Source organism: Homo sapiens, chromosome 11 (assembly GCF_000001405.40).
Source record: "Homo sapiens chromosome 11, GRCh38.p14 Primary Assembly".
NCBI classification, from domain to species: Eukaryota; Metazoa; Chordata; class Mammalia; order Primates; family Hominidae; genus Homo; species Homo sapiens.
The window spans coordinates 14,138,578-14,164,364 of NC_000011.10; the positions used below are offsets into that span (position 1 = coordinate 14,138,578).

The following is a 25,787-nucleotide window of genomic DNA, read 5'->3' on the forward strand; positions in this document are numbered from 1 at the left end:
ACTGAGCTATGGCTAGCCTGGCAGGTCACAAATGGGTAATCCAAGGCAGGCGGGGGCTGTAGGAAATGGTAGATCACACTTGTAGGTTGGTGTGGGAGTGGAAAGTGAGCTTATGAATACTCGTTATGAAAACACTTCATCCCACTAAGACCATTTCTACTTCAGTAAGCCCATATTTCTGGCATGTTTACTAAGTGTCTGGTTCTCTGCTGGATGCTGGCCCAAAGATGATGCCCCTTTCACTCGGTTATTCAGGCTAGAATCCTTGATCTCTCCACACCCAAACTTGTGCCTTCTCTTTTAAATTCATCCAGTTCAATCTGCCCTCATCACCACCTCCCTCCACTTATCTCTTGCCTAAATTGCTGCACTAGCCTCCTGATGCCCCTGCCTCTGATTCTCCTCCTGTTGCCCATGCTGCCCCAGGGCCATCTTTATAAAAAACAAATCAGATCATGCCACTCCCCCACTTAAAATGTTTAATAGCTTCTCCTTGACCCTAAGATAAAGTCCAAATTCCTTATCAAAGCCTGAATACCCTTTATGTCCTGCCCTTGTCTTACCTCTCCAATTTTATTTCTTGCTGCAAATCTAAGTTTTGGGCATACAGAACCTCTTTCAGTCTATGCACAAGGGCCATGCCCTTCTTGTCTCTGGACCTTCTCTCAGCCAGACATCTTCCAGCAGCCTTCTAACTGGTGAACTCCTATTCATCCCTTAGGACTTAGCTTAGATGTTGCCTCTTCCAGGAGGCTTTCCCTGATTCTGTACTAAATTGATCTTGCCAGGTGCTCTCCCAGCACTTTGTCCTTCTCCTATTGTTAGCATCATCACACTTACATATTTCTTTGATGTCTCTCCCTCACTAAACAACAAGGTTTAAAGCTGCCGTTCCCACTATTATATCCCCTGAGCTTGGCATAGTATTGGATGCTTCCTAAATGTTTCTTGAATATATAGTTTGTTCATTCAATAACTTTATAAATATTTATTGAACTTATTAGTTTATTCATTTGGTAATTTTACTGAACACCTACTATATGCTAGGCATTGGAGATGCAGCAGTAATTAAGAAAACTCCTTTCCTTCATGAGCCTACATCCTAACAGTGGAGAAAAGGAAAACATGTAAAATATATATATATATATTTAAGTGAAAAGAAACCAACAAGGGTGGTAGTGACATAAAGAGGATTAGGAGTAGGGAGGGGCCTGTTTTAGATAAACCGGTCAGGGAAAGTCTCCCTAACAAATGACCATGAAGCAGAAACCCAAAAGACAAGTGTAGGGGAAAATCATTTTAGATGCTAACAACAGCACATGCAAAGGGCCTGTGGGAGAACATAACTTATTGTGCTTAGAACTAAAAAAAGACTAGTGTGACACAAGGATAGTGAGGGGATTGTGGCACAAAAGGAGGCTGGAGAGTTGAATGCCGGACCACTTTGTCTCTACTCAGACGAAATTAACAAAGTGGGAGAGGCACATACATGACTATTTCCATAGAAGGTACTTATTCCTTAGGGGAATCTGTGCATCCATTGGGGAAATGTGGACACACATTTGGGCAGGGCCTTGTTGGGTTTCCTCTCTGCTGGAGTCTCCTTTTCCAATCCACGTCTGCTTCTTTCCACTATTCTAGTCCTTCATTAGGGCTACTTTTATGTCTTCAATAATTTTAAATATGTCTAATTGTCTCTTTCAGATTATTCTATTTTCTCATAATCTTAGAGACTATTTTTCCTTTTCATTGAACTTGCTCTCTCAGTGACATTAGTTTCTTCTTTGGTTTTAAATTGTTTGATCATCTTCAGTGGTATTTGTTTTGTTTTTTTGAGATGGAATTTCACTCTTGTCACCCTGGCTGGAGTGCAGTGGTGCAATCTTAGCTCACTGCAACCTCCGCCTCCTGGGTTCAAGCGATTCTCCTGCCTCAGCCTCCTGAGTAGCTGGGATTACAGGCGCCTGCCATCATGCCCAGCTAATTTTTGTATTTTTAGTAGAGACGGGGTTTTACCATGCTGGTCAGGCTGGTCTCGAAATCCTGACCTCAGGTGATCCACCCACCTTGGCCTCCCAAAGTGCTAGGATTACAGGCGTGAGCCACCACACTTGGCCTCAGTAGTTTTTTTTCTTTTTCTTTTTTTTCCTGTTGGAGGAAAAAAGGTTCAAGTGATGGTGTCTTTACAGTGACTTTGTATTTTCTTCTCCTGGTCCCACCCAAGTTTTTATGTCCTTTCTCAGATTGGAATTGCCCACTGCACAGCTAGTATACGTCTGGACCCTGCACTAACACATGAGAGCAATTGGGAGTTCCATTTCTTGGAGGTGTCTTGGGCAGAAACAACCTTCCTTGCCATGTTCCCGAATGCTTGATGGAGGGTTTTCTCATGCCCTATTCACAAACAGGGCAGCCCTTTAAAACATCCACTGTATGCAGGCGTGCCCCCCCCATGCCCCACTTCTCACTGGCTCAAGATTTCCCCTTCTCTCCATGCATGGGCTTCTAAACCCCCGCCTCCAGCTCCTGGGGCCTGTATCCCAGTCCAGGGCCCCAACAGCTCACCACGCACTAGCTCCTGCTTACTGTTCTGAGTTAGACTTTCCTCCCTATTTCTGGCATCTGGGCAGTTTTTCTAAACTTGTTTACATATTTTTGTAATGTGTTTTGTTATATTTGTCCAGCATTTCTATCTGTTTGTAGAAGGAGAGAGAACTTTTTGTGTCAGTTCAGTTTTCCACATTTTCAGGTATCCAGCTAATATCTGTAGCACCTAACAAATATCTGAATTGATGACAAGCAAGCCATGAATGGTTCTTGCATAAAACTCTGAGCTTTGAAGAGTCACCCATTTATTAAAAATCCATTAGAAAAATCATTCCAACTTTTATATTTCTCTGGATTCAAGGCTTTCCTGACCATAAGAGGTCAGATAATGGTGGACCCTAATACAGGCATTGATTATTTCACCTTCAGGAGACCTTGTTTTGGAGGATGACTTGAACCAGCCCACAGGATTATCACACCGCCTGTGGCATGAGAAGCAATAGACAAGCAGATGTTCTTTTTCTTTAAAGTTGAAACAGTTTATATGGCTCCAGGAACTGGAAGAAAAGGTTTGAGAATTTTCTTTTCTCATCTCCTTTAAATCATTGGAGATGACATATGTCTACTAAACTATTGTTTTTTTCTGATTTTTGATTTTCTAAATTTTTAATCACTTTTCTTTAATTAAAGCCATGGCCTGACTTCAAGTGTTCTCTATGATTCATGACATGCTGCCTCATCCGGTTTGGAAAAACCACACACAAACACACACACACCCCACCAGCTTTTATTTATAATAATAAAGCTCCAGTGATCTTCCATGCTTATGAGAAGTAGTGATGTATAATGTCTAAAAGCATTGCCTCTGAATCAAGATTTCCTGAGTTCAAATCCTGGCTCCATCCCCTGCCAACTATGTGACTTTGGGCAAGTTACTTAACCCCTCTGTGTCTCAGTTCTCTCTTCTATGAGATGAAAATGGCGATTGTGCCAACCTCATAGAGTCATTCTGAGGACTAAGTGAGCTGATAAGTGTAAAGTACTTGGAGCAGAGCCTGCCCTTAGAAAGAGATTGCTGGATGTTAGCTATCATTACCATGTTTTCATTCTTCAGCCTCTGTTTCCTTATCAGTAAAATGAGGGGTTTGTCCTAAGACCCCCTGCAGGACTAGAAAATTTAATGTTCAAGTTCGTGTCATTTCTCAGTGTGAAAAGGTCCAGAGGATGAGGCCACAACTCCTTTACCATCTACTTCAACTACTTCAGCATCCCCAGGCACTGCCCAAGCCTGCCCCTCCTATCCCCACTTGACAGTGTCATCTCCCAATTTGCCCTAACATTTTTTCCCAAAGTTGATCATAAGCAATTAAGGGTATAAATTAAGCCTTCAAATATAGAAAGAGCTACAGTAAAACTCCACGCCCATTCCCAACTCACTGCTTTGCACATGCTCCCTCCCTTCCTTGGAACAGCCTCATCAGGATGCTCGCTGGAGCTAGTTCGATGCCACCTCCAGAACAGCCCTAGAGGCAGCCATGGAGCACATCTTCCTGAATGTAGCAAGACACAAGCCAAGGGGCAGAAATGTGGCTCCCAACCTAAGGAGAGAGGTGGTTTAGTGAAGTCTAGTTTGATTGTAACAGGAACCCACTGAAACTAACTTAAGAACAAAGGAAACTTTATTGTAGAAAGAAAGTAGGACACATGAGAACACAAGTTTGTGCAGAGTACAAAAACCCTCACGAAAGCTGGAATTGGAAGGCATCAGGCTGAGACGACCACTAACTCTCTCTCCCTCCTCCACACTGCCCCCAGTGTCAGGTGGTCTTTTCCATGCCCTTCCATGCAAATCTCTCCCCGACTATTTCTCAACAGAGCTGCTGCCTCTGCTTACTTGGGTTGCACATGGCCCCAAATGGTAGCCATAGGATCTTCCTCCTTGGCTTCTCACAGCTAGCTGAGCAGTTTTGGTGACTCTTAGTGAAGCACCAGAAAAACAGGTTGATCACTGGATAGCCTGGGCAATGGTGCCCCCTGCATCAGATATCTACCCTTACTCCAATCCAGTGGCCACCTCTGTGTAAAGAACCATCCGGCCTGTTATTATATCCAGTGGCTGTGGGCAGGGCAGTTTATACTAAGAAGGGAACTGAAGGCCTGGGTGTGGTGGCTCATGCCTGTAATCCCAGTATTTTGGGAGGCTGAGGTGGGCAGATCACTTGAGCTCAGGAGTTCAAGACCAGCCTGGGCAACACAGTGAGCCCTTATCTCTACAAGAAATACCAAAAATTAGCCAGGCATGGAGGTGCACGTCTGTAGTCCCAGCAGTTGGGGGACTGAGGTGGAAGGATCACTTGGCCCAGGAGGCAGAGGCTTTAGTGAGCCACGATCACACCACTGCACTCCAGCCTGGGCGACAGAGTCAGACCCTGTTTCCAAAAAAAAAAAAAGGGCAGGGGAAACTGAAGGTAGAAGATAAATTTATATTTCAGGGCAGCAGTGGATGGGCAAGAATTAGACTGAGTTGCAGGGCCCTAGCCAAAGGACAGGAGCTCAGGGCAGGATTTCAGTCCTGTAGAAGAGAGGGGCACTGAAGAGAGAAGAAGTTCAGGAGCACTAAAGAAAGAAGAGGGAAGATCAGCAGAAACCCAGAGTTCAGAGCTGCACCAATTGGGTGACAAAATGCTGGGTCTAGAGTTTGGTTTAGCAATTGAGGTGGGATCAAGGGACATTACTAGGCCTAAACACAAGGATATGGAAAGGCAGAGGTCAGAGAAAGAGTATGGGGCCCCAAAGCACTGTTAAGGCCACTTATTTACCCTTGCCACCTGCTGCCTTGCATTGTTACTTAAGAACCATGAAAACAGTAGAGAACCTGTACTTCTTAAGTCTCTGACCTCGAGTAGGTCACCTAAGCTCACTGAGCCTTAGATTTTACATTTGAAAAACAATAACAAGAATATGAATTACCTCTGTTGGTTATGAAATAATACGTGTACAAAGCATGGCTTGGAGTATGAGCTCATTATTACTCTTATTATTGCAACAAAAAAATTAAATTGGAAGGACTTAGAACCCTTTTTTCCTTCCATCTTCTAAAAGGGTATTTCGGTTTTACTGGGTGGGAATACAATGGAAAGAAGACATAAATTGGGCTAGGTAGAATCTACTAGAGCATAAAGACAAGGAAAAGGGAGAAAGAAAGATCCAAAGAAGACTTTTAGACCAGGCGTGGTGGCTCACACCTGTAATCCCAGCATTTTGGGAGGCCAAGGCAGGCAGATCACTTGAGTTCAGGAGTTCGAGACCAATCTGGCCAACATGGTGAAACCCTGTCTCTACTAAAAATACAAAAATTAGCCAGGCGTGGCGGCAGGCACCTGTAATCCCAGCTACTCAGGAGGCTGAGGCAGGAGAATCACTTGAACCTGGGAGGCAGAGGTTGCAGTGAGCTGAGATTGTGCCACTGCACTCTAGCCTGGGTGACCGAGTGAGTGAGACTCCATCTCCAATAATAATAATAATAATAATAATAATAATAATAATGAAAAATAAAAAGTAAAAACCCAAAGAAGACTTTGAGTAAATTTGATTTCTAAAAGAGGAAACTTCAAAAGAGAACTTTTAGCAGTATACTTTGCAGAATATTGTGTGATGTCATTTTCCCTTTGCTGCCTTCTCAAGAAAACTTCAGCAAAGACCTCTAATACTTTTTCAAGGCTTCTGGGAGTCAGATTGGGTCTGTTTTTTTAGGTGTGTCACCCTGCTGCAAATGGCCCCCAAGGGTGCCCAACCTTATTTGGGTTACATTGATGACACACACCTCCTTTGTTCTCCCCTACCTCATTCAAGGCTTAATTCCATGTAGTATGGGTAAGTGGGCACTTGTGGTTGGTAGAAATAAAATGACACTCAGAGTGGTGATAGGGTAAGGAGTCAAATAAAGATTCTGTCACAGATACTCGATACAGAAATTAAGACATTGTTTGAAAGGTATGATTTGAGTCATATGAAACCTCTTGTTTGCTTTCAGTTGAGTCTTCAAACAAATCCAGATTACAGTAGGACAAGCTGCCAGAGTGATTTCGTGATGCCTGTTCTTTAATAAAACTGGCACAGGCTGCCTTTGCTGGAAGGGTATAGAGCTGGCCTCTTAGCATTACTTCTTAACCTCTACAGTTTTATAAGACAGCATCATGATCCCTGGGAATTTTTCTGAGAATCTCTGTATGAGAGAAATGTGGGACAGTCTTATTCAAGACTTACAGAATATTTGACTCACTAAAATATCTATTTTTACAGTAACTGAGCCAAAATATTGCAAATAGAAGGCAAATTTAAGTGAGAGATCATTAATATATTACCTTAAGATTTAGAAGACAATTTAGCAATATCTATCAAAATTATACGTTTTCTTTTTTCTATTGTAGTAAAAGAAAACACATAATATTTACCATCTGAACCATTTTTAAGTGCACAGTTCAGGAGTGTTAGGTATATTCACATTGTTGTGTGTATATTTTCCTTATACATCAACATAATAAAATAATTCTATATCTAGGAATATGTCTTTCTGAAATAGTCTTGTGCAAAAGTATATGAGGAAGAATATTCATTATAGTATTTTATTTTTAAGAGATGGAACAAGCAAACTTTCATCAATAGGGGTCATATTAGAAACTCTGGATGCATTTAACGGGTCAAATACCATGCAGCTATTAAAAAGAATAAGGCAGATTTGTGTGTACTGATACAGAATGCTCCCTGGTGTATATAGTTAGATGGGAAAAAAGCAGAACAGTGTGTATAGCTTGATTCCATATATGAAAAATGGCAGGTTAGAGTGAAATGATTATATTCATGTATAGGATTATATATGCATAGAATATCTCTATGAACATACACCAGAAACTCCTTGCCTCTAGAGCACACAGAGAGTAAGGGGCAGAACTGAAAGGTTCATTCACATTTTGCCATACGGCCTCTTGTATTGCTTGAATTTTACCATGAACACAAATTACTATACTTTTTTTTTTTTTTTTTGAGACAGAGTCTCTGTCTGTTGCCCAGGCTGGAGTGCAGTGGCACCGTGTTGGCTCACTGCAACCTCCATCTCTCAGGTTCAAGCAATTCTCCTGCCTCAGCTTCCCGAGTAGCTGGGATTACAGGTGCCCACCACCATGCCCGGCTAATTTTTACATTTTTAGTAGAGACGGGGTTTCACCATGTTGGCCAGGCTGGTCTCGAACTCCTGACCTCAGGTGATCCACCTGCCTTGGCCTCCCAAAGTTCTGGGATTACAGGCGTGAGCCACCACACCTGGCCTACTGTACCTTTTTAAAAGAATAATATTTAAATGAACAAAGAAAACTTGGATAAGAAACCAAATATTCCCCCCAAAAAAAATACTGCATAACTTAATCTGTAAATTTAAAGTGTTCCCTCAAAAATCCCAGATAATTTTTTAAAAATTATACAGGCTGACGCTATAGAAATAGAAAACTAAACAGTCAACAATAGTCAGAAAATGTTTGAAAAAGCATATAATGAAGGGAAGACTGGCTAAACCAGATATAAAAACGTTATAAAACAACATTAACTAAAACTGTGTGAAGCTAGAGAGTGAATACACAGATCAATAGAATCTAATAGAAAGTCCAGAAATAGACACAAATTCTTTGTAAGTTAAGTATATGAAAAAAGTATAATTTTATATCAGTTGGAAAAACACTAGATCCTTCAATAAGTGGTAATGGCACAACTGGAAGCCATCTGGAAAAAATATTTTTCTTCATACCTTAATCCTGGAACCAATACAAGCTCCAAATATATCAAAAATTTAAATATTTTTAAATGAAAACATAAAAACGTTAGAAGAAAACATGAAAGAACCTTTTTTTTTTTTTTTTTTTTTTTTTTTTTTGAGACGGAGTCTTGCTCTGTTGCCCAGGCTGGAGTGCAGTGGTGCGATCTTGGCTCACTGCAGCCTCCACCTCCCGGGTTCAAGCAATTCTCCTGTCTCAGCCTCCTGAGTAGCCGGGACTATAGGCACCTGCCACCATGCCTGGCTAATTTTTGTATTTTTTTTTAGTAGAGACAGGGTTTCACCTTGTTGGTCAGGCTGGTCTCAAACTCCTGACCTCAGGTGATCCACCTGCCTTGGCCTCCCAAAGTGCTGGGATTACAGGCGTGAGTCACTGCGCCTGGCTGGAACCATTTTTATAACCTAGAACAAAGCTTCTTCCAAGCACATCACAAAACCCGGAGATCATAAAAGGTTAATGAAGTAAACTAAAAACATTTCTTTTTTTGAGATGGAGTCTCACTCTATTGCCCAGGCTAGAGTGCAGTGGCACAAACTTGGCTCACTGCAACCTCTGCCTCCAAGTTTCAAGTGATTCTCCTGCTTCAGCCTCCCAAGTAGCTTGGATTACAGGCACCCACCACCAGCCTGGCTAATTTTTATAGTTTTAGTAGAGATGGGCTTTCACCATGTTGGCCAGGCTGGTCTCGAACTCCCGAACTCAACTGATCTGCCTGCCTTGGCCTCCCAAAGTGCTGGTATTATAGGCATGAGCCACCACGGCTGGCCCAAAACATTTTTTAAGTAGTGGAAAATACTAAGACTTTTTTTTTTTTTGAGAGGAGTCTCGCTAAACAAAGGGCTAATTTTTTTTTGATATATAAAGAGCTTCTTATGGTCAGTTTTTAAAAGACCAACAAACCAATAGATCAAAACACATGGACAGGTCTCAGAAAAGGAAAATGAGATGGCTTTTAGATATTATAAATGATGTTCAACTTCATTTACAATCATAGAAATACAAATTAGTTTCACAGAGCTACAATTTTTGATCTGTTAGACTTTTGACAACTATATTGTCAGAGGTGTAGGGAAACACCTTTCTACACTGGAGAGCGCTTTCTTCTGACTCAGCAGTTCAGTCAGAAATTTATATACACAGATATACTCACATTTAGGCACATTCTATTTATTGGACATTGTAACACAAGAGTGGAATAAATTAAATATCCATGAATAGGGGACCAGTTAAATAAATATGAGATTTTGATATTAAACATTTCCAAGACAAATTGTTTCATTAAAAAAGAAAATGCAGCAGGGTACTCATGATTGGTCCCATTTGTGCTATCTTTCTAAAGATGTGTACTTACGTCTCTTGAAGGGTATATAAGAATATTAATAGTGGTTGCCTCTGGGGTGGAGAGTTAAGAGATTGCGGAAAACGAAGAGAGGGACCTTTCACTGTATTCCCTTTGGTGCCTTTGGAATGTGGTACCATGTTTTTGTGCTATCTATTCAAAAAGTAATTATTTTATAGTTGAAATAAAAAAAAATAAGCCAACCAACCAACAAACACCCAAGCTTAGGAACATTTAAACGATGCTGTATCTGAAAGCACATTGTGGGGTCTTGGTAGATCGTTCTCCTCCTGGTGACCAAGAGAGCTACAGTCCACCTGTTATTTTAGGTGAGAAAACTGAGGCTCAGAAAATATACTTCACATGTCCAAATGCTAGTGGCAACACAGGACTTTTGACTTCCCTCCTGGTACTTTTTTCTGTCTCTGCTAAAAGAGAAGAGACATAGGCAGCCCTGAAAACGTCACTCTGGTGTATGTACTCCTCCAGTGTACTGAAACATTTACTTTTCACCAGATTGTGTCTCTGAGACAGTTTAGAGCTGGACTTTTCAATGAATACTTGCCATCTAGTGGTAAAAAAAGATGTGTGCACCTAACATAGACTGCATTCATTCATTCATTCATGCATCAAACACCATACAGTCATGCACTGCATAACATTTCAGTCAACGACAGACTGCATCCATGACAGTGGTCCCTTAAGATTATAATGGAGCTAAAAATTCCCATTGCCTAGTATTCACTATACTGTAATTTCTATCATTATTTTAGAGGGTACTCCTACTTATTTTTTTTAAGTTAGCTATAAAACAGCCTCAGGCAAGTCCTTCACAGGTATTCCAAAGGAAGGCATTGTTATCCTAGAAGCTGAAAGTGATGAGTTACTGCCCCCGAGGACCTTCCAGTGGGACAAGGTGTGGAAGTAGAAGTCAATGATGTTGATGATCCTGACCCTGTAAAGGCTTAAGCACATTTTTTAAAATGTGTGTGTTTACATCTTAGCTTTTAACAAAAAAGTTTAAAAAGTTAAAAAAAGAATTAAAAAGGCCTGTAGAATAAGGATATAAAGAATGAAAACATTCTTGTACAACATGCACTGTGTTGTTGTTTTAAGCTAAGTATTATTACAGTCGTTAAAAAGGTAAAAAAAAGTGTATAAAGTAAAAAGTTAGAATAAGCTAAGGTTAATTTATTATTGAAGAAAAGTGTTTTTATAAATTTAGTGTAGCCTAAGTGTACAGTGTTTATTAAGTCTACAGTAGTGTGCAGTAATGTCCTAGGCCTTCACATTCACTCACCACTCACTGACTGACACAGAGTAACTTCCAGTCCTGCAAGCTCCATACAGGTGTACCATTTGTTATCTTTTATACCTTATTTTAATGGTACCTTGATATGTTTAAATATACAAATACTTACCATTGCATTACAATTGCCTATGGTATTCAGTACAGCCACATGCTGTACAGGTTTATAGCCTAAAAACAATAGGCTATACCATATAGCCTAGGTGTGTAGTAGGCTAGACCCTCCAAGTTTGTGTAAGTACCCTCTATGATGTTTGCACAATGAAGAAATTGCCTAATGACACATTTCTCAGAGCATATCCCCGTTGTTAAGTGAGGCATGACTGGGAAATCACTTGTCCTTAAGGCACTCCTAGTCTCTTGGGAAAGACTGACAGAAAAACAGGTGATTACACCAGTATGATGAAGAGACAACTGCACTCCCATGTTTATTGCGGCATTATTCACAATAGCCAAGATATGGAATCAACATAAGTGTCCATCAACAAATCAATGAATAAAGAAAAATTGGTGTATATACACAATAGAATACTATCTAGCCATAAAAAAGAATGAAATGCCATCATTTGAGGCAATGTAGATGAGCTTGGTTGACATTTTGTTAAGTGATAATAAGCCAGGCATGGAAAGATAAATATCACATGCTCTCACTCATATGTGGGAGCTGAAAAAGTTGATCTCATAATAGTGGAGTGTGGAATAGTGGTTACTGGAGACTGGGAGTCAGGGGATGGTGAGAGGTTAGTTAACGGATGCAAGATTGCAACTAGATAGAAGGAATAAGTTCCAATGTCACTGGAGCATGACTGTAATTAACAACAATCTACAGTATGTTTTCAAATATAGCTAGAAGAGCAGATTTTGAATGTTCTCAACGCAAAGAAACAATAAATGAGGTGATATGCATGCAAATTACCCTTTGATTATTTTACATTGTGTACATGTATCAAAATATCACACTATACCCTGTAAATATGTACAAAACTATGTGTCAACTAAAAATAATAATAAAAGATAAAAGAATAGAAAAATGGGGAACAAAAAGACCCATGGTGAGCGTGAAACTAAAAAAATAGAATAGAAAATGTCTCATTAATGTTTTCGTTATATTGATTACCTGCTGAAATGGTAATCATTTGTGAAAAAGAAAAATAGGTGATTCCACTACAGTGCAACTAAGGCTAGGAAAGTCAAGTACAGGACACAGGGAGCACAGTGTAGGGCTTAACCTTGCCTTGGGAAATTGCAGGTATCAGGAGCAACACTGAACTCACTTTTCTGGATTCTCAGTAGATGCTAAAATTACCTCCTTTCTTGTCTTCCTCTTGCTGGACCCCATCAGGACCAGGATAGCAGTTTTTGTTGTTACGTTCTCTGTGTCTGAGGATGGACTCATTAACTGATCATGTTAGGAAGGCAGCCAGTGTATGCCCTTTGGCTACATGGAGTAGCTGTTCCAAGAGCTGAATCCGTGCCACCGTTGCATCTGGTCTGCAGATCTGTTTTCCAAAGAGCCATATGCGAATGCATTGTTCATTTCCCACCTCTGGTCAGAACATCTGTGGAATGTCCCTCCTGCCCATGTAGTTTTTCAGCTCTGTTATCCTGAAGCTCTTTCAAAGGTTAGCCTTTCATTCTCCAAGCAAACAAGTTCTTGTAGCCCATAGAAGATGTCCTCCATAGAAACCAAAGCAGTCCACCCAGCTTGCCTAGAATGAAAGGTGCCTAAAGTGGTAGGGGGTGGACCTGCAAAGAAAGGTGGAGTCCTTTCATAAATGAACTTAAATACCAGGCTGGAGAGATGCAGAGATTACAAGTAGACCTAAAGTAATTAGGAAGCCATTGAGGGTTTCTGAGCAAGGAAGCGACCAGAGACCAACGTATTTGTTCATTCAACAAATAATTGTCAACATCTACTGTGTGCAAAGCTCTGAGTGAGACCCTGTGCTACAGACCCCAGCACAGAGATGAATAAGACCCAGGGTGGGAGACATGTCATCCTCCTGGGTTATAATGCCTTCTACCTCCATGCAACAGCTTAAATTTTTTGTCTCAGAGAAGGAAAGAAATGTCAGAGCATAAGAAATTAGTGACAGAAATTATAAACTATAAATCACAGTTCTAATTGTTCTATAATCATGTAAACATAGCAATTTTTCTTTAACATAGAAATATACAAATCAAAGATAAAACAGGAGCCCCATCTCATGGAGAGATAGTCTGCTGCCTCTTCAGATTCTACCTCAACATTATAACATGTCCTTTTGACACTGTGGAGCCAATAAGGTTTCCATCCCTAGAAGACCTTTCTCTCCCAATCTGTATCCATCAGAATTCCACTCAACCTTCCATACCCTCCTTGCCAGAATACCTTTCCAACTCCTTCCAAATGCATGTCATTTCTGCCTCCTTGGATCTTCCAGACCATATTGTAACCCCATTTGGCCCAGTTCCTGCCTTGTATTATGGGTGTCTGCTCCTAAAAACAAAAGTAGGAGTCAGTCTGAGCTGGGGTGTAGTCTGGAATCACCCCTCCATCTCCCTAGTCATGCTTTTCATATGTCTCATAGTACATTGAGAAGTGTCTGTTGAATTGAGTTGAATGCTTTAGACCTCGGTTCACTGACAGAGGGACTCCTTTAGCAAAGTTAGCCATTTTACCTCCTTTGTCTCCATAGCTACTTCCAGTTCTCCAAACTACAACCTATTTCCCAACAGACTCCAGTTACAGTACTTCTTAATTTATCTTCTATTCAAAGGCAAAACTACTGCTTCATTAATCAATGAGTAAGGAAAATCAAAAGCTTATTAACTAGCAAGCCAATGCTCTTCTAAAGGGCATTGATCCATGTATGTTATGGGCAGCCTGTTCATTGATAGCTACAGCTCTTGGAGAGCAGCTCTCTGGAGTAGCATTGGGGAAACTGAAATCTTATTTTGAAATAGCTTTTAAATGCATGGAAACACATCTGATTCTTACTGGGAATTTCTTGATAGGGAATACAGAAGGGAAGACTATTTGCTTGTCAGTAATATGATATAGAGACAAATCATTTCATAGGATTTCATAAGTGCATATATGTAACCAAGAAACACAGGTACTTTCATATTATCTTGAGAAAAATGAATTCATTCTTTAAAATGCAATGACTTCCCTGCATAATGCATTCAAGAATCAATGCAAATATAAAGGATGTGTTTATTGGCTTGTGATCTGTATTCATGACTGCAAGCATGGTTGGATCTTTTGAGATGGGGGTTTCCTCTGTTTCAGTGGCCAAGGGATATTCTTTCTCAAATGGACATGGTGATCATTTGAAACTTATCCCATGCATAGTGACCCCAAATTCGAGTAAATATATATCAAGTACATATAATACACAAAGAAGTGAGTCTGAAGTCAACCTCCAAGCACTCCAAATTAGGGCCCTAAGACAACTGCAGAATTTGTTGCAGGGCAGATGTATGGCCTGGTTTAGAACTTTATTATTTTGACCTCCATTCGCATGTTAGTTTTACTTCTTCTTCTATCTTCAATCTTTTACAACATACATCCTTTACTTATTAGATTCTAATATATTAGCATTTAACATACTTTTACTATTTCTTGGACAATGGAAAAACCTTAGAACACTGTAATTCCCTTTAGCCCATGTATTAGTCTGCTCTCACATTGCTATAAAGAACTACCTGAGACTTGGTAACTTATAAAGAAAATAGGTTTAATTGGCTCATGGTTCCACAGGCTGTAAAGGAAACATGGCTGTGGAGACCTCAGGAAGCTTGCAATCATGGCAGAAGGTGAAGGGGAAGCCAGCATGTCCTATAAGGCTGGAGCAGGAGGAAGAGAGCAGGGAGGGCCACACACTTTTAAACAACCAAATCTCTGAGCACTCACTCACTATCACAAGGACAGCAAGAGGAAAGTCCACCCAATGATTCAATCACCTCCCACCAGACCCCTTCTCCAACACTGAGGATTACAATTCAACATGAGATTCATGTGGGGACACAGAGCCAAACCATATCATTCTGCCCCTGGCCCCTTCGAAATCTCATGTCCTTCTCACATTTCAAAACACAGTCATGCCTTCCCAACAGTCTCCCAAAGTCTTAACTCATTCCAGATTAATTCAAATGCCCAAATCCCAAGTCTCATCTGAGACAAGGCAAGTCCATTCTGCCTATGAGTGTGTAAAATAAAAAAACAAGTTAGCTACTTCCAAGATACAATGAGGGTAAAGGCATTGGGTAAATGCTTCTGTTCCAAAAGGGATAAATTGGCAAAAAATAAAGGGGTTACAGGCGCTATGCAAGTTTGAAACCCAACAGGGCAGTCATTAAATCTCAAAGCTCCAAAATAATCTCCTTAGACTCCATGTCTCACATCCAGGCCATACTGATGCAAATGATGGGCTCTCAAGGCCTTGGGCAGCTCCACTTCTGTGGCTATGCAGGGTATAGCCCCTGCAGCTGTTTTCACAGACTGGCATCAAGTGCCTGCAGCTTTTCCAGGCACATGGTGCAAGCTGTTGGTAGATCTACCATTCTGGGGTCTGGAGAATGGTGACCCTCTTCTCACAGCTCCACTAGGCAGTGCCCCAGTAAGGATACTGTGTGGGGGCTCCAACCCCACATTTCCCCTCTGCACTGTCATAGTAGAGGTTCTCCATGAGGGCTCCATCCCTGCAGCAGACTTCTGCCATGACATACAGGTGTTTCCATACATCCTCTGGAATATATGTCAGCCTCAACTTTTGCCACCTGCACACTCACAGGCTTAACACTGTGTGGAAGCCTTGGTGGCTTCCAGCTTGCACCCTCTGGAGCTGTGACCTGAGACATATCTTGGCCCCGCTTAGCCATGGCTGGAGCTAGAGAGGCTAGGATGCAGGGCATCATGTCCCAGGGCTGCACAAGGCAGTGGGACCCTGTGCCTGGCCCACAAAACCATTTTTCCCTCTTGGGACTCTGGGCCTGTGATGGGACAGGCTGCTGTGAAGGTTTCTGAAATGCCTTACAGGCATTTTTCCCATTGTCTTGGCTACTAACATTTGGCTTCTCTTTACTTAGGCAAATTTCTGCAGCAGGCTTGAATTCTTCCCCAGAAAATGGGTTTTTCTTTTCTACCACATGGCCAGGCTGCAAGTTTTCCAAACTTTTATGCTGTACTTCCCTTTTAAGTATAAGTTTTAGTGTCAGGTCATTTCTTTGTTTATGCAGGTTAGTGTAGGCTTTTAGAAGCAGCCAGGCCACATCTTGGATGCTTTGCTACTTAGAAATTTCTAAATTTCTAAGATAAAATTTCTAAATTTTAGATACCCTAAATCATCACTCTTAAGTTCAAAGTTCCACAGATCTCTAGAGCAGGGACACAATGCCGCCAGTCTCTTTGCTAAGGCATAGCAAGAGTGCCCTTTACTCCAGTTCCCAGTAAGTTCCTCATCTCCATCTGAGACCTTAGCCTGGGCTTCACTGTCCATATCACTTCAGCTTTTGGTCACAACAATTTGACAAGTCTCTGGAAAGTTCCAAACTTTCCCTCATCTTCCTATCTTCTTCTAAGCCCTCCAAATTGTTCCAACCTCTGCCCATTACCCAGTTCCAAAGTCACTTACACATTTTCAAGTATCTTTGTCGCAATGCCCCACTCCAGGTACCAATTTTCTGTATTAGTCCATTCTCACATTGCTATAAAGAACTGTCTGAGACTGGGTAATTTACAAAGAAAAGAGGTTTCATTGGCTCACAGTTCCACAGGCTATACAGGAAGCATGGCTGGGAAGGCCTCAGGAAATATACAATCATGGCGGCAGGTGAAGGGGAAACTGACATGTCCTACATGGCTGGAGCAGGAGGAAGGCAGGGGAGGTGCCACACACATCTATTTTTTTATTTATTTTTATTTTATTATTATTATACTTTAAGTTTTAGGGTACATGTGCACAATGTGCAGTTTAGTTACATATGTATACATGTGCCATGCTGGTGCGCTGCACCCACTAACTCGTCCTCTAGCATTAGGTATATCTCCTAAAGCTATCCCTCCCCACTCCCCCTACCCCACAACAGTCCCCAGAGTGTGATGTTCCCCTTCCTGTGTCCATGTGTTCTCATTGTTCAATTCCCACCTATGAGTGAGAATATGTGGTGTTTGGTTTTTTGTTCTTGCGATAGTTTACTGAGAATAATGATTTCCAATTTCATCCATGTCCCTCAAAGGACATGAACTCATCATTTTTTATGGCTGCATAGTATTCCATGGTGTATATGTGCCACATTTTCTTAATCCAGTCTATCATTGTTGGACATTTGGGTTGGTTCCAAGTCTTTGCTATTGTGAATAGTGCCGCAATAAACATACATGTGCATGTGTCTTTATAGCAGCATGATTTATAGTCCTTTGGGTATATACCCAGTAATGGGATGGCTAGGCCAAATGGTATTTCTAGATCCCTGAGGAATCACCACACTGACTTCCACAATGGTTGAACTAGTTTACAGTCCCACCAACAGTGTAAAAGTGTTCCTATTTCTCCACATCCTCTCCAGCACCTGTTGTTTCCTGACTTTTTAATGATTGCCATTCTAACTGGTGTGAGATAGTATCTCATTGTGGTTTTGATTTGCATTTCTCTGATGGCCGTGATGGTGAGCATTTTTTTCATGTGTTTTTTGGCTGCATAAATGTCTTCTTTTGAGAAGTGTCTGTTCATGTCCTTCGCCCACTTGTTGATGGGGTTGTTTGTTTTTTTCTTGTAACTTTGTTTGAGTTCATTGTAGATTCTGGATATTAGCCCTTTGTCAGATGAGTAGGTTGCAAAAATTTTCTCCCATTCTGTAGGTTGCCTGTTCACTCTGATGGTAGTTTCTTTTGCTCTGCAGAAGCTCTTGAGTTTAATTAGATCCCATTTGTCAATTTTGGCTTTTGTTGCCATTGCTTTTGGTGTTTTAGACATGAAGTCCTTGCCCATGCCTATCTCCTGAATGGTATTGCCTAGGTTTTCTTCTAGGGTTTTTATGGTTTTAGGTCTAACATGTAAGTCTTTAATCCATCTTGAAGTAATTTTTGTCTAAGGTGTAAGGAAGGGATCCAGTTTCAGCTTTCTACATATGGCTAGCCAGTTTTCCCAGCACCATTTATTAAATAGGGAATCCTTTCCCCATTGCTTGTTTTTGTCAGGTTTGTCAAAGATCAGATAGTTGTAGATATGCGGCATTATTTCTGAGGGCTCTGTTCTGTTCCACTGATGCCACACACTTTTAAACAACCAAATCTCTGAGCACTCACTCACTATTACAAGAACAGCAAGGGGAAGTCTGCCCCCATGATTCAATCACCTCTGACCAGACCCCTTCTCCAACATTGAAGATTACAATTCAACATGAGATTTGGTCGAGGACGGAGAGCCAAACTATATCAATCCACTACCATCTTAAGTATTATTGTTACCAAATAATTAAATTTCATATATATTTTAACCCTACAACACATTATTAGTATTGCTTTGCCCAGTCAAAATTCATTTGGCTTTACCCATATATTTATTCTTTCTGTTGTTCTTCCTTTTTTTATGTCCATTTTCCTTCTGGGATGATTTCCTTCTACCTGAAAAACTCCTTCAGCATTTTTTAGAATTTGCAGGCAAAGAATTCTCAGTTCTTATTTATCTGAAAATGTCTTTATTTTGTCTTTATTTTTGAAGAGTATTTTTAAATAAGTTGCCACTTATTTTCATTCAGTATTTTTAAGGCATCACTTGTCTGTCTGTGGCTTTCATGATTTCTGTTGAGAAGTCATCTGTCAGTCTTATGGTTGCTTGTTAGAAAATAACATGTCTTTTTACATAGCTGCTTTTAAGATTTTGTCTTTATCTCTGATTGTCAGTAGTTTTACTACATAGGTAGGCATGACTTTATTTATATTTATTGTTTTTGAGATTTCTAGCACTTCATGCATCCATGTCTTGGTATCTTTTGTCAGTTTTGGAAAATTCTGGCCCTTATTTCTTCAAACATTGGTTCTATCCCAATATTCTTTCTCCTTTCCTTCTGGAACTTTAATTATATATATGTTCAACTTTATCATCATTTTCCATATGCTTCTTATGCTTTTTTTGTATATTATTTATCATTTTCCCTCCATACTTTAGCGTGGATATTTCCTAGTCCTCTCCTCTGCTAGTCTGAAATGCTATTAAACTTGTTCTTAATTCTAGTTATATTTATTAATATTAGTTCTAGAATTTTCATTTGATTCTTTTTTTTAGAAATTCCAGTTTGTTGCTAAAATTCTCCATCTAGATTTCTATTTCCTTGAACATATTAATTATAGTTTTTAAGTCCAAGTCTGGTAACTATAATATCTAGATCATTTGTAGGTCTATTTCTATTATTTGTTTTTCCCTTGCTTCAGTTTCTTGGTATGTCTCATCATTTTCTATTGAATGCCAGACATGTGTATGATAAATTATAGGGGCTCTGGATGACATTATCTTCCTTCACAAAGATTTGCTTCTTCTAGCAGGCAGTTGGAGTATGGAAAATCACCTAATCAGGCCTTGGGTTGGGTTGTTTTTAAGCTGGATTCTGTCTTTGTGAGGGCTCTTTTACTTATGGTTCACTCTTATTCCATGGGTGTAGCTCTTCAGGGTTCCTCACTTAAAGCCTGTAGTGCTTACCAGTGTGTCTCTTCCTTATGGTTTCCAATTTCCAATTTTAATCTTCCCCAAATCTGAGGCTGCTAAAAGCTCTGTTTAATCTCTTAGCCACTAATTTCTACCCAGAGTTGCAAACTTCCTTCACCATGACTCTTACAAATTAGCAACTGCCTCAGAAGAAACAGCAGTGCCAAACATCAGGCTCACTTCTCTGTCCCTTTCTCTTCAGGGACTTGATCTTAGCTCAAGTCATTTTCTCTCCCCAGTCTTATGAGACTGATGAAAGCTGTACTCAGCTTCTCAGCCTCTTAGCCTTGTGTGGCTGATGAAAAAGCCAGAGCCTGAAGGGAAAAAAGCAGTTTGGAATATCTGACTCACCTCCATGCATTTCCCTTCTCTCCAGGATCTTGGCCTTCAAGTCCTGGCTGCATTGAGACCTTTCCAATACTTTAAACCAAGTTACTTTGTTTTGTTTTATTCATTTTTTGTAGTTGTTCTTGGGAGATTGTTGGCCTCATATAAGCTCGCTTATCAGTGTTGCAGGTGAAACTAGTATCTCTTCTTTAAGTACTTGGGTTCTGTCTCTCCTACATGCAAGTCTTTCTCTTGCATCTTTCTGATTTGTGTCTCTAACCCAATCTCACTTGCTGGTATCAGTTCTAATATGCTAGGTGTGGAGAACTGTACGTCTGTCTGCAATTGTTCAAATCTTTCCTCTTAAGTAATATCTCTTACTTTGTTTCTATTCTTAATTTATATTGGGAAATATAATATTACATCAAGTGTGACTTCCTTCAATGTGAGTGCCTTGGTAAAACTCTGCAACTCTTAGGACTGAAGAAAAAAACCTCTATGGATTTAACATAATTAATTACTTATAGTAATTAGTAAGACTCTAATTGATTATTACCTCTAAGATGTCATGAATTGATGCCACTTTTTTCTGTTTTTTGAGTTATTAGATGTGAAACAGTCATTATTAAAAATTTTTTTGATGCCTTTGGAAAGAAATTACGGGAAAGGTGCTCAACATCATGATCATCAGAGAAATGCAAATCAAAACTGCAATGAGCTATTATCTCACCCCAGTTAAAATGGCTTATATCTAAAAGACAGGCAATAAAAAATACTGTTGAGGATGTGGAGAAAAGGGAACCCTCATACACTGTTGGTGGGAATGCAAATTAGTACAAGAACTATGGAGAATAATAGTTTGGAGGTTCCTTAAAAAACTGAAAATAGGGATACTATATGATTCAGCAATCCCACTGCTGGGTATAGATCCAAAAGAAAGGAAATCAGTATATCAAAGAGATATCTGCACTCCCATATTTGTTGCAGCACTGTTCACAATAGCCGCAATTTGGAAATGACCAAAGTGTCCATCAACAGATGAATGGATAAAGAAAATGTGATATATATACACAATGGAGTACTATTCAGCCATAAGAAGAATGAGATCCAGTCATCTGCGACAACATGGATGGAACTGGATATCATTATGTTAAGTGAAATAAGTCAGGCACAGAAAGACAAACATCACATGTTCTCACTTATTTATGAGATCTAAAAATCAAAACAATTGAACTCCTGGACTTAGAGATTAGAAGGATAATTTCCAGAGGCTGGGAAGGGTAGTGGGGGGTGGGAGGTGGGGGGGATGGGGATGGTTAACCGGTACAAAAACATAGTGAGAACGAATGAGTACAACCTATTTGATAGCATAATAGGTGAATATAGTCAATAATAACTTAATTGTACATTTTTAAATAACTTAAAGAGTATAATTGGATTGTTTGTAACTCAAAGGATAAATGCTTGAGGGAATGGATACTCCAATCCCCATAATGTGCTTATTACACATTGCATGGATGACCCAAATCATCTCATGTACCTCATAAATATATACACCCACAAAATTTTTTTAAATTTTTTTTAAAAAGAAAAGAACTATAGATACTCCTTGACTTACAGTGAGGTTACATCCTGATAAACTCAGGATGTTTTATCAGTTACAACTGAAAAAAGTTGAAAATATCACTAAGTCAAAAATACACTTAATATACCTAAGCTACTGAACATTATAGCTCAGCCTAACCTACCATATATGTGCTCAGAACACTTACATTATTTTTATATATATATTTATATATATATATTTATATATATATATTTATATATATATTTATATATATATTTATATATATATATTTATATATATATTTATATATATATATTTACATATATATATTTATATATATATTTACATATATATATTTATATATATATTTATATATATATTTATATATATATTTATATATATATTTACATATATATATTTATATATATTTATATATATTTATATATATATTTATATATATTTACATATATTTATATATTTATATATATATTTACATATATTTATATATATATTTATATATTTATATATATTTATATATATTTATATATTTATATATATTTAATTTATATATATTTATATATATTTATATATTTATATATATTTTTATATATATTTATATATTTTTATATATATTTTTATATATATTTTATATATATTTATATATTTATATATTTATATATATTTATATATTTTTATATTTTTATATATTTATATATATTTATATATTTATATATATATTTATATATTTATATATTTATATATATATTTATATATTTATATATATTTATATATATTTTTATATATTTATATATATTTTTATATATTTATATATTTATATATCTATATATATTTATATATATCTATATATTTATATATATTTATATATATCTATAATTTTTATATATTTATATATATCTATATATTTTATATATATCTATATATCTATATATTTTATATATATCTATATATCTATATATTTTATATATATCTATATATCTATATATTTATATATCTATATATATTTATATATTTATATATATCTATATATATTTATATATTTATATATCTATATATTTATATATTTATATATCTGTATATCTATATATATTTATATATTTATATATATATTTTTTTATATCTATATATTTATATATATATAAGATGGAGTCTTGCTCTGTCACTCAGGCTGGAGTGCAGTGGTGCAATCTTGGCTCACTGCAAACTCCACCTCCCAGGTTCAAGTGATTCTCTTGCCTTAGCCTCCCAAGTAGCTGGGACTACAGGTGCACACCATCACACCCAGATAATTTTTATATTTTTAGTAGAGACGGGCTTTCCGCGTGTTGTCCAGGCTGGTCTCAAACTCCTGACCTCAGGTGATCCACCCACCTCGGCCTCCCAGTGTGCCGGGATTACAGGCATGAGCCACTGCATCCAGCTAGAGCACTTACATTAACCCAAAGTTGGGCAAAATTATCAAACACAAAGCCTATTTTGAAATAACTGTTGAATATCTCATATAGTTTATTGAATACTATATTGAAAGTAAAAAATAGAGTGGTTGTATGTGTACTCGAAGTACAGTTTCCACTGAATGGGTATTGCTTTTATACCATCATAAAGTCAAAAATTATAAGTTGAACCATCATAAGATGGGGACTATCTGTATATTAAAATAATGAAGGTTTTCCACACCAGGTGTGGTGGCTCATGCCTGTAATCCCAGCACTTTGGGAGGCCAAGGTGGGGCAGATCACTTGAGGTCAGGAGTTCGAGACCAGCCTGGCTAACATGGCAAAACCCCATCTCTACTAAAAATATACAAAAAAAATGGCTGGGCATGGTGGCAAGCGCCTGTAATCCCAGCTACTCGGGAGGCTGAGGCATGAGAATCACTTGAACCCGGGAGGCAGAGGTTGCAGCGAGCTGAGATAGTGCCACTGCACACTAGCCTGGTCAGAAAAGCAAGACTCTGTCTCAAAAAAAAAAAAAAAAGACAAAATAATGAAGGTTTTCTTAAAATATAAAATGAAATATGAACACTAACCCATGTATATTACACATATATGTAGAGAGAGGGGGGAAACACTAACCAATGTATATATAGGAATGTCTAGTTTGGTAGATGCCCTCCATTCCAATTCAAATGAGAGCAGAAGTTGATTACTATAACCTAAAGAAGAATGTGTTAAAGCAGGGAATTTAAAAATTAATACATGGATATGTCAAATAGTTTAACTTAAATCAGATAAGTGTACCTTCAATCAGAAATATAAATCATGCCAATAATTTATCACCCCTGATTTCCAGTTTAGGCTTCTTGAAAATGAATCTGTACTTAAAGATACTTGCAGAACCATCTGAGTATAGAACTCCTGAGTTTTACAACTTTTCCCAATCTTTTACAGATATCTTGCTCTCACCTAATTATACATTATTTTCAGCAACTTGCCTCTGTTGAGTCCTTTCAGAGCAGTCATAAAAAATGCCTTCCTTTTCTCACTCATATCTCATCAATTTCAAAAGATTTTACCAAATTATGTAAGCACAATGTCAGAATAACTGGTATAAGGAGGTTTGAGAACAAACACAACTTACTCTTGGTAAACATGCAAGTTTACTGCAGAAGCAGAAGCGTGCTGCCACAGCGGAGAGTGGGCACCCAGCTGAATCATCCGGATGCCCTAGCTCTGTCAGTGTTTATAATACTACAGAGGGAATGGCAAGCATCGGCTGGTCCTGCAAAGAGGTTAAGTGTTGGCTAGTCAAGAGAGCTTCTGCAATACAGTTATTTTGAGTATAGTTATTTTGCTTAATCTTGGGTTGAATCTACATCTTTTTGAAGTCACCTTCCTTGTCACCACTCATCTTATCCTCACATTCACTGGCATGATTTCAGAATGATTGGAGATAGCTTCTTCCAATCTAAATATCACAGATTGCCTAAGTTTAATAATAACAGTGCACTTTTTGTGTGTTAACAAATACCAGACTTCTAAACACTTTACATGAATGTCATTGAATCTTTAGAACCCTAAGAAGTAGGGCTATTATTATCCACATTTTGTACTTGAGGAAATGGAGGCTCAAAGGAATGAAATGGCTTGCACATAGGCTCATAGAAAGTAATGATAAGTGCAAAATTCAAGTCCAGGTCATGAGCATCTACAACTTACATGTGTACCACACACTAAGTGCATCCCTTGTCATAGAACTTGGGGGCTGGTGGTGGGCTCCCGCCTGTCAGGCTGGGGCCAGCTCCCCACCCTGCCATTCTCCTTTTATTTCTCCAGTCAGCCTCCCTAAACTCAGCCCACTTTGCCTTCTTTCAGGAAGTGATTACTTCTTATAGCCCCCCAGATTCTCCCCCCATACCTGGCAAAGGGCTGGGTTCAGGCATCCTCCATTCCCTCTTTCACTGACTCTGAGGATATTTGTTTGAGCTCCTTGTGATTTCAGAATTTTACTGTCATCACTATGGAGACATGGGGTGAGAGAAATACACATGCAGAAAAATGACAAAGGCTTCAGAAACTTACTACATTCTTGGATTCTGGTTCCTGAGCTACCATTCTTCATGCCCGTGCTGTGGTGGGAACCAAATGCTCCCATGGACTGCTGTCCTCCATATTGATTCCTGAGAGAAAGGCTCTCCAATTCCCTCCCCCGCTTTAGCAACAGCCCTGGTTACCCCCACACCCATAAAGGCTACTTTGCCCAGCACAGTTGTCCCCTTGTTTATAGTGGAGACTTGTGCTCTAAAGCCCTTCAAACTGGGAAGCATTCAATTCTGGCCCCCACATACAGCAGCAGTAATGACCCCTCTGGGCATTACCTGATGGTCACTATTTAGAACTAAGTATCATGACTTCTGGAAAAACTGTTAAAATGCCAAGTATTTTTGCCTGGCACAAATCAGGTTGAGTGGCCAAGGCAAAAGAGCCACAGCTTCAGCCACCGTTAACCGTTAAAGGTGAAAAGAAATTCGTTTATCCACATAGCCTATATCCAAGATGGTTTTACTGGCTGTGCTGAAATGGCAGAAACTCACGGGAAGTCCATGGATAAATTTAAATTTCCACTATCCAGTGCATCTAACATGTATCCCAGTATCAATCCTCCCACTCCTTTTAATATCAGGATACCAGTTGTCAGCTGGATACATGGCCACCCAGAATAATACATT

The 25,787-nt window shown here is 38.9% G+C and overlaps 1 protein-coding gene across 1 annotated transcript in view, besides 1 other annotated feature; it reads left to right on the forward strand.

Annotated features, from left to right (window-relative positions):
- SPON1 (spondin 1) overlaps window positions 1–25,787 on the forward strand; it is a 305,411-nt gene that overhangs the window by 175,855 nt on the left and 103,769 nt on the right. The gene's annotated exons all lie outside the window — the stretch shown is intronic.
- Window positions 5,080–5,592: an enhancer, noted in NCBI's record as "NANOG hESC enhancer chr11:14165203-14165715 (GRCh37/hg19 assembly coordinates)". NCBI's record gives its function as "activates a minimal SCP1, AML or CMV promoter by ChIP-STARR-seq in primed H9 embryonic stem cells {active_cell/tissue: H9 hESC(primed)}" and the evidence as "EXISTENCE:reporter gene assay evidence [ECO:0000049][PMID:30033119]".